The sequence below is a fragment of the Homo sapiens genome, chromosome 15, assembly GCF_000001405.40.
Source record: "Homo sapiens chromosome 15, GRCh38.p14 Primary Assembly".
NCBI classification, from domain to species: domain Eukaryota; kingdom Metazoa; phylum Chordata; class Mammalia; order Primates; family Hominidae; genus Homo; species Homo sapiens.
In genome coordinates this window covers 67,520,974-67,530,596 of record NC_000015.10, presented here as the reverse complement: position 1 = coordinate 67,530,596, position 9,623 = coordinate 67,520,974, and the positions used below count along the sequence as shown (strand labels likewise).

The 9,623-nt window shown below is 39.1% G+C and overlaps 1 protein-coding gene and 1 long non-coding RNA gene across 5 annotated transcripts in view, besides 2 other annotated features; one reads left to right on the top strand and one right to left on the bottom strand.

The window, feature by feature from the left end:
- Nucleotides 1-450: 450 nt before the first annotated feature.
- On the bottom strand, nt 451-9,466 carry C15orf61 (chromosome 15 open reading frame 61). The gene is made up of 2 exons (NM_001143936.2): nt 9,003-9,466; nt 451-4,179 (listed from the first exon to the last, which is right to left on the bottom strand). The coding sequence occupies exons 1-2, from the start codon at nt 9,346-9,348 to the stop codon at nt 4,052-4,054; spliced, it is 474 nt and encodes a 157-aa protein (NP_001137408.1). The 5' UTR covers nt 9,349-9,466; the 3' UTR covers nt 451-4,051.
- Nucleotides 8,753-9,623, top strand: part of IQCH-AS1 (IQCH antisense RNA 1) — a 118,234-nt gene continuing 117,363 nt past the window's right edge. The window contains exon 1 of one of the 4 annotated variants that reach the window (NR_040051.1): nt 8,753-9,051. This is a non-coding gene — a long non-coding RNA (IQCH antisense RNA 1). Of the gene's footprint in view, nt 9,104-9,534; nt 9,591-9,623 lie in introns of those variants that run through there. The other 3 variants (NR_040052.1, NR_040054.1, NR_040056.1) reach the window with 3 other exon arrangements.
- Nucleotides 9,040-9,159: an enhancer, noted in NCBI's record as "active region_9630". NCBI's record gives its function as "activates an Ori minimal core promoter by ATAC-STARR-seq in GM12878 lymphoblastoid cells {active_cell/tissue: GM12878}" and the evidence as "EXISTENCE:reporter gene assay evidence [ECO:0000049][PMID:35858748]".
- Nucleotides 9,270-9,619: a silencer, noted in NCBI's record as "silent region_6578". NCBI's record gives its function as "represses an Ori minimal core promoter by ATAC-STARR-seq in GM12878 lymphoblastoid cells {active_cell/tissue: GM12878}" and the evidence as "EXISTENCE:reporter gene assay evidence [ECO:0000049][PMID:35858748]".

Here is a 9,623-nt window from a genome sequence, read left to right as displayed (position 1 = left end):
GGATTACAGGCATGAGCCACCACGACCGGCCACCTTTTTTTTTTTTTTTTAATGGCCAAGCTTGTGTTTGTGGAAACTGTTTTAGCCACATTTTCATTAAAAGAGAAAAAAATTCCACATCTGATCTCCAATTTGTATTAGAAAACTACTCTGTGGACTGTGGTCACTACTAATAACACTTCTTATTGTTGGGAAAGCCCTGGTGAAACATTTGTCAAGTACAGAAAATGATATGAAAGTGAAATATAGTAATTAAGATTTGTGTTCTATTGATTGTGTAGCTTAAGTAATTTTTCATTACTAACATAAGATTTAATACGTAGTTAAAGATTCTGACTTGGCACTAGTCATTAGCATGTAATTGAACTAGTAAAAAAGATCAGTTAAAGCTGTGTTGATTACCACCTTATCTTTGAAAGGCGATTAAAGACCTCAATCATTGCAACAAGATTTGATCGTGCAGCCTTTATTGGACATTGATCTTTCAGCAAAGTGCAGTTACATTTTCCATTAATTTACAGTAACAGAGTTTAACTCTGATACTCTAGACTGTTGACCCAGGTGAGATGTAATGCTAAGTACTTGTTTAGGTTAAGATGCCCCCAAATGTCATTATTGTTTGAGTAACAGTAGATACTTAATCCACTAGCTTTAGGATAAGGTTTCTGTTATCTGCATTAGCTTTTCAGTGCAGTGAAACCAAGATCTTTGCCTTTTATGTCATCCCACTTATTCAAACATCATTCTTTAACAGAGTTAAAAGATATTTCATGAAGAACTATAGATGTTCTATGCTTACAGTTTTGGGTGAATATAAATGACATGAAGTAAAATGTACTTTAAAAGATACACGGTTTTAATAATTACAAATGTTTCAGCTAGGCCTGGTGGCTCATGCCTGTAATCCCAGCACTTTGGGAGGCCGAGGCCGGCAGATCACCTGAGATCAGGAGTTCAAGACCAGCCTGACCAACATGGTGAAACCGTCTGTACAGAAAATACAAAATTAGCCGGCGTGGTGGTGCATACCTGTAATCCCAGCTACTCAGGAGGCTGAGACAGGAGAATCGCTTGGACCTGGGAGGTGGAGGTTGCAGTGAGCCAAGGTCGCACCATTGCACTCCAGCCTAGACAACAAGACTGAAACTCCTTCTCAAAAAGAAAAGTTTGAATTTTTACGGAAGTCAACGTTAGAAAAATATTAATGCCCCAAAATGTGTGGTAAACTATAACTGTTTCTACAATTTGGCATTTTAGGACATCAACACTAAGAAAATAGAGATTTTTGTATTAGCAGCCTCTCTCACGCTCCCAAATAGGTTACTGCATCTTTATAGTGGCTCACAACTTACACAGGAACTAAGAATTTTGCCTAGGAATTTGCCTAGAAATTTATTCCAATACGTGATAATTCATTTGTATAGAAATAACAATAGAAGAGATGCAAGGTTTTGTACTAAAAGTACACCTTTATTAAAACAGTTTTGGTTGGATTAAAGATAAAAATCCTGTCAAAGAAATATGACAGAAAAGCTAATCAGTGGTTTCACCAATTAAGAAAACTACTGATATGCAGAAGAGAAGGGCCTCTTCAGCTCCCCACATGCCACTTCAGGGTTAGTGGGCATGTGCTATCAATGCATCTCTCCTTCTTTCTCCATCACCTTATTTTTGAAATTTTTTAATTAATGAAGTCCTTTAAGTATAATGGAGCAGAAGAATGTGGATTATAAAAACAGAGCTTTTGCAGAGACAAAAGTAAAATTGATGTACATTTTCGGGTAGAAATGTCTCTTGTTTCGTTCTTCTCAGATTACAGGTGGAAAAACCAAGACACAAAGGAGGAGAGTTATTAGCCTGAGGTCAAAAAGTAAGACAGCACCAATACTAAAAATAGACTCAGTCTCCTGACTTACACATTTATACTTTCTCCCTTTCAGGCCATAATACTTTGGTGTAATATGCAGCTTTAAAGAAAAAACTTAAACCATTGCTGTTCAATGGGAAGTATTGTTTTCAGACTACAAGTTTACAAGACTTAATAAATCCAATGAATGATATTTAAATTTTTAAACCACGCCTTTACCCATTGTTGAGTTAGTTCATCCTTCACCATGATCAACTCCGTAAGAGCAAGAGGTCTATTGATTTTCATGTAATACAAGAAAATATTACATTTACTTGTTATACAGTGAGCACATCAGACAAGAAATCAAGGCCCTGTTTAATGCTGCAAGCAGCAGAGAATTACAGAGATCAATAGGGTAGTTTGTCAAAGATGTTCTCCAAGGACACTTACCTATCACATATGGGCAAGAAGTCACACTGACTATAGCTATTGAAAAACAGGTAAGCAGAGTCAGCAGTACAAATTATCAGAAATCAAACAGGCCAGTGTGAAAAGAGGTGCAACTCTACTGAAAAGCTGTATTTATAGTCTGGTAATTAAAGACCATTTTATCAGCCTTGTGTTGGGACCAAACCTTTACAGCCACTATTGACAAGACCAGCAGCAATGAATGAGCAGTATTTGACTTAAAACTTATGAGCTATAGTTATTTAACTTTGCCCATTACAGAGGAAATCAGTTCTAGCCTTCCCTGCAAAATGCTAATAGCCAGTTGTTTTATTATTAATGAAGCTTAATGTAACACTATCTCCTTTGTGTAAGCCATTCATTTAACTAGTGTCAAGTATATTCTTCTGGACTAAATATATTGGCATAAGTACTTCTTTGATTAAAGTGTTACTTAGAATTGCTTTTAGACAAGTGAACACCACATATATTTGAAGAACAGTTCACTCTGTAGATCATTTAAAATGACTACCTTTAACGAAGCTAGTTTGTATTACTTCATTATTCTGGTGCCTTCACCTCAGTCACTTCCACTCACTTTCTCTACTGACTTGACATAAGCATCCAAATGTTGAATTTTATAAAATGTTTTGCTACAAAAATGTGTAAGTGTTGCAGAGTATCAGCAACACATTAACATAAAATGATATATAATGTATGTTTGTAATTATGGGAGAGATCATAAATCTTAAACACCCATTGGTTTAGAAATTAAATAGTTCTACTTAGTTCTCCCTAAATTACTCCAAATGTCTGAAATTTACCATTCATCTGGGTATTTTGTGACTACCCCAAGGATACATTTTTTTAAATGACTTGGCTTTCAAAAATGCAATTAAGTTAATAAAATTCAAATGCAAAAGTGCCATTAGGTCTTTAAAATTTCAGCCCACTCCTTATTGCCAATAAGTCTATGGATATGTACCATTTCAGTTAATTGCTTTTATAAACAGTTACCAAATTTATTTTTCTGCATCTTTCTAGAAGATCTTAATTGTTCTTACAGCTTTATAGGAAAGCTGTTTTAACTTTTAATAAGTCTGAGTTTCATTCACCTTGCTACACTTATATTAACCAGTTATTATTACATTTTACAAACGATATGGTTTTGGACTCTTTAAGCAACAAGAAGTTTCAACATTACACTCCAACCCCTCCTCCAGGTAAATGGCACAAGGCCTTTAAAACGTTTCTATTTACAATCCTGGCAGCTGAATGGTTTAGACTTGAGATTACAATTAGATTCTCATCAATTTTGGATTTGCCAATGATGTAATATTTCCATCATACATCCTAATGTCTTCTACTTCTTTTTCCATTGTTACATAAAAGATTTTCCCCCCTTCTCTTTTGTGTGGGCATCTATATTTTCTCTTCAGAGTTGATTTAAATTGTTAATTAACTATAGAATCTATTACATTGTAATCATTTTTTATCTGTAGGTTAACCTAGTTCTAGGGAAAAAATGGTGTGAAGCTTCATGTGTTTGTAGTTCACATCAGCTAAACAGAGTATGTAATATATAACGATGTATAAAAAGCTTCACCTCTTGAGGGCAATGATTCATCTTAAAGAAGCAGATACTGTAGAAAGAAAAAAGTATTTGCAAAAGTTTTATTTTAAAGGATCAAAAATAAATACTGCACATATACACAGAGAAAATCCACTGATATTTATGTTCTTTGACGCACACTTTCAATACATGGCACCTTCATCTTCTTTATTGAGAAAATAAACTGTTATGGGTCCATAACTGGTATGCACAGTCTCTGTGACTCTGGCAAATAACCAGGAGCCAAGTCCATATAATAAAGTTGGAATACCTAGAAAACAAACGAATATGTATAAACATCAATGCTTATTAATCATGCAAGTTACTGATCACGTATAACACTCTTCAGCAATGTTAACAAATTACAATGTGATAAAATATAAAAATATTAATCAACATTGACTCTGATTATCTAAGAGCTCAATTTCATCAACGTGGCACATGATGGCAATCACGTGAGTCCAGAGGTTTTCATACTATAGACAAGGCGGGTATAAATGTTAATTCGAGTACTTCATAAATTCATTACCCTCAAATAATCATGAAGTAATGCTATATTCTTTTCATAAATAAGAAAATGGAGAAGAATACTCATTAATTTAGTTGTAGACGCTCCTGATTATTAGCCTTGAGCTAAAATTACTAAGTTAACACTACTGTTTGTTTGTTTGTTTGTGAGATGGAGTCTCACTCTGTTGGCAGGTTGGAGTGCAGTGGCGCGATCTCGGCTCGCTGCCACCTCCGCCTCCTGGGTTCAAGCGATTCTCCTGCCTCAGCCTCCTGAGTAGCTGGGACTACAGGCGCGCGCCACCACGCTCAGATAATTTTTGTACTTTTTTAGTAGAGATGGGGTTTCACCATGTTGGCCAGGATGGTCTCGATCTCTTGACCTTGTGATCCTGGGCCTAGGCCTCCGAAAGTGCTGGGATTACAGGTGTGAGCCACCGCGCCCGGCCAACATTACTGTTCTTTAAGTTAGTAGTAACACTAATGGTTGAAGTAATTTTTGTACAACTTAAAAGAAGCTCGGTCAAAGAGCTGTCTTTAAAATCTAAAGCAAAACCTAACTCCAAGTAAGATTTCAGTACAACAGGCATGAGAAAAAAAACTATTATTAGCATTTTTTCAATTGATCTGAAAACAACCTCATTTCAACCAATTTGAAATAGATATATAGTAGACTCCAACATGTGTTTCTTCTTTGGAATTGATAAGATTTTGCTGCTTTGAGATTAGTTGCCATTTGTGATACATGAAACTAAACACACTATCCAGAGATATGTATTAAGCACTCACATGCATATAAGACTGTTGGCACAAAACAAACTTTCACAATTCCTATCTTTTTAAAGGTACTTATTTAAAATTAATGACTACTAACATATTAAAAACATATGTAATAAAACCATAGGCACATGAATCAATAACAAATACTGTATGCTCTGGACAAGCATTAATTTTATGCTCTTATGTGGGAAATGGGCAGAAAGTGACACTTTAAAAGGATAGCTGTACATTTGGAAAATCACTTTCTTTCTAGTAATAAAGAACGCGGCTGGGCACTGTGGCTCACGCCTGTAATCCCAGCACTTTGGGAGGCCGAAGCAGGCGGATCACCTGAGGTTGGGAGTTCGAGACCAGCCTGACCAACATGGAGAAACCCCGTCTCTACAAAAAATACAAAATTAGCTGGGCGTGATGGCGCATGCCTATAATCCCAGCCACTCAGGAGGCTGAGGCAGGAGAATTGCTTGAGCCCAGGAGGCAGAGGTTGCACTGAGCCGAGATCACACCACTGCACTCCAGCCTGGCGACAGAGGGAGACTCCATCTCAAAAAAAAAAAAAAAAAACAAACAAAAAAGCAACACATGCTCTGGACTAATCATATTGCTAAATTTTGGTCTTATTTTTCTGCAAGAATATATTTGCTGTGTTAAGCTCTTTTTGAGTGTGTTTGCTGAACCACTTTGTGCTTACTCCCTGAAGCTTCATTCCAGCCACTGTGATGCCAGAGATTAATCAGGAGAAGCATCACATCACTAGCTGGTAATGAGAAGGGGAAAAAAATGCCCATTCAGGCTGGCATCTCTCTATTTTTAGGAATATACTGGGTCACAGTTTGTCACCATCACAGGGTTCCCTGGAACTCCCATGAAACCTTTTATAGTGTATCACCTTCTTTGCCCTGATAATGTCCAAAAGAATCTCTGAATACCTCAAGGGAATGTCATAAAAAAATCCACAAAAACTAGAATAATAAAGCTACTTATAAATCATTTAACCACAAAGAAAAAAAAAGGCAAGTGGCTCAGGGGTGGGAGGTAGAAAAAGAAGAATATGAACAAGCTAGGCAGAAATGAGAGTGAAGTATAGGGAGTAGTTGAAATAAAAAATAAATTTAAAATGCAATATCACAACTTCAAAGCTGAAAATCAATGGAGTGAGGAAGAAAAAAAATAGGCTCTAGAAGCAATTACTAATTTTCTAAGCATACTGAGACTAAAATACATAAAATAGGCCTCTTAAACCAAGGCTAAGTATATAAATTTAAGGAATACCTGGTGACACTGACAATTTTCTTTTATAGTATTTATCATAGTTTTCAGTTAACATATTGATTTAAAAAATTCATACTTTTGAAAAATCACAAATACAGAAATAAACGGTCAATATATTTTCAGCTAAAATCAAGGGCTGATCAAAGATTACTAGCTTAATAACTATATTATGTCTTATTAAAAAATAACCAGCAACCATTAGCAGTGATGCTGTTTGACAGGAGATGGAGTTATGATCTGAGTCAGAAATTCTGTATTTTTTTCCCCTTGCTGTCTGTTTATTTAATGCAGTCAGACTAATACTCAAAATGGGAAGGTTTGCCACCTATATAACTTATATATTACAAAATCTTTGTAGCACACATGCTTTGAAGTCTATAAGATTCTATGAAAAATTCAATTTTTTCTGAAAAATTAAATTTATATCTGAAACATGTAACATCAAAAGAACCTCCAAATCAGTTCTTTGCATAATAATTCACTTTGAGTCAGCTGAACAGTAGGTAAACCACTGTCAAATTAAGCACTTTAAAAAATTAGAATTCCTCAGTAAATCTCATTCATTCCAATGGTAAGTTGCTTTTCTTAAATCTCAATCTACTTCTCAGCAGGATACCTAGACTGGTAAACCATCAGTAAAATGTCAGCTTCCATTGAAGGGAAGACGGAGGAGAAAAGGAGCAAATGGGTAAACAGAAATCTTTATTATTTACAAAATGGAAAAATGAATTTGGAAGGGAAGAAGAGGAACAAAATCCTAAGTATAATATTAATAGGATATGTACTTTATCACCCAGAGAGACGATTGTACCTCACAGAATAGGAAAGGACCTATTATCTAATTCACATCCCCTCTACCTTCAGACAAAAATTAAAAATAAACGTTACCAGATGTGTTCACCACTTTAAAATATTTTTTAATTCCCTTTATCAGTATATCCCAATTTGTATTAAAGCATGCATGAGCAAAAAGTTGTCCTTTTTGCTTAACTTAGAACTCTTACTCCCATTTTAGCAGGATTTTTAGAATGTCCAAAAGACCATACAGACCATTAAATCACTCTCCCACATTAATAAACAAAACAAAACAAAAAACACTACAACTGTTGTTTCTTTCAACTTTAAAAGGTTTTACTTTTCTATGTGTGGAATGTTCTGAGTATCCACTTTTTTTGGATGTCTTAATCTCTAAATCTAAAAGAGAGGCCCCTAATCATTAAGGTGCTCTTAAACAAAATGTCAACACTAAAAATGTGACTTTAAAGGAAAAAAAGGCATTTGGCTCATGGTTTACCTATAACTCTCCCGTTATGCTTTTCCTAACCTATTATTCTTTAGGGAAGAATGATTTCTTACTTATGAAAAATGCTAAAATAAACTTATACTTCTCGAATCTAGTTAACACTCCAGTCTTTCCAAATAATTTCGAATTGAATTTCCTAAGTCACCTCACCCTTCAACTTCAACCAACCTCCAAAGTAGTGGGCATGCTCTATACAGTCCATCAGCCAAATAATAAGAGGCATTTTTAAAGGATAACACGTTGCTAAACAATTATCTCCTTACAGGACAGTCCAGTGGAGTAACGGCTCAAAAAGCCCACGACTGACATATGTGTTATTATAAGCACAAATACACAGACTATTTTTAACCTTAATGGACGATCAGATTATGTAATAGTATTAGTAGTACGGCTGCGCAGGGTTTAGTTTTAATCCTGGCTTTAAAAACCTGGCTGGGTAACATGGTTCATTCAGCTCCATGGCTAGATTTTGAATCACTGAAATCTAGATTGATTTTATGCCAGCTATTAGTAAGTTCAAAACATCTTGAGGCCTTCTGTTTTCCCCTGACCTATAAAAGATACACCCATGTCCATGTTCGTACCTCCCTCTTCTGTCATTAAACCAAAAGAAAATAAACACCTAGTGACAGTAAACATCCTCAGGGCGTCTCCATGAAAATATACAAATATTAAAGATCTTTAAAAATCTTTTAGGCCTAGCACCTCAGGAAGCTGTTATGTCTGGTGAAAACCTTTGGTGCTTTTAGTAAAACGAACTTGCCGGGAATTCATACAAAGAAAACAAAAGAAACTTAAAAGAGTAGTTCCAGTTATTGCAACATAAACGCAGCTGCAAAGTGATGTTCACGGGAATGAGTCCTGCCATGCAGTAGGACGGATGTCAACTTCAGAGCCACTTTCTAGGGGGCGTTTCCTGACGCCCCCTGGCTTACTGCCCAGGCCAGGGGTCTACTCTGGTTAACATGGGCAGGACAGGAGGGCGACCCGCCCCTCCCTAGGCCCGAGGACGCGCCCGCAGCAGGCGAACGGCTTCGGGTGCCAGGAGCTCAGCAAGCTGGGGACCCCCTGGGCGAGGAGTACAAAGGACCCCAGGCGAAGCCGGCGCCGGGAGGCAGAGCTGACTCCCGCGGGACTCTACCGGCCTGCGAGCGTTCGTCACGTGCTCGGTGGCTGAGGGGCCGTCCCGGCCGGGCGGGCTTCACCGCGTGGGCGCGGCAGTCGCCACTCACCGAGGTTGACGACCTTGAGCGCCGTGAAGAAGCGGTTCTGCCGGGCCAGGTCCTGCCAGGGAGCCTTGGAGCAGTGGTACTTGATGAAGGGGAAGCAGCCGGTGCGCAGGACGTGGTAGTTGGCGCCCTGCACCGGCCAGTTGAAGTGCGAGAGGCCGAACTGGTCGTTGCGGACGGCGCTGTAGGGCACGCAGAAGGAGGTCCAGTGCGGCAGGCGCCGCTGCAGCAGATGCCGCGTCAGCACCTCCGAGGCGCTGGGCTTGGGGCGGGCGGCGGCGCGCGAGGCCCACGGCCTACACAGCAGCAGGCGGAGCGCGACCTCGTGGGCCCTCCTCAGGGCCTCCATGGCCCGCCGCGCCGGGGACGCAGGCTGGTGTCCGCAGCCGCTGGCGCGCAAGCGCGCCCCCGGGCGAGCGCCGGGAAGGCCAACCGGCGCCGCGCGGGTGCCCGAGAGCCCCCGGTGTGCGGCGGCGCGTGCGCACAGCGGCCCCGTGGCCTCCCGCTGGGGGTGGAGTCCGGGGGATGGGAAGCGTGAGCTGCGCGAGGCGGAGGGTCACCTGCGTCAAGGAGCTGGTTTTGAGTGGCCAGGTGTGACCTCACGCCGTCATTAGTAACTCGGGC

Coding starts and splice junctions, on each gene's coding strand:
- C15orf61 (NM_001143936.2), bottom strand. CDS start 9,348: ATGGAGGCCCTGAGGAGGGCCCACGAGGTCGCGCTCCGCCTGCTGCTG. Junction 4,180..9,002: donor GCTCAAGGTCGTCAACCTCG/GTGAGTGGCGAC, acceptor TTTGTTTTCTAG/GTATTCCAACTTTATTATAT.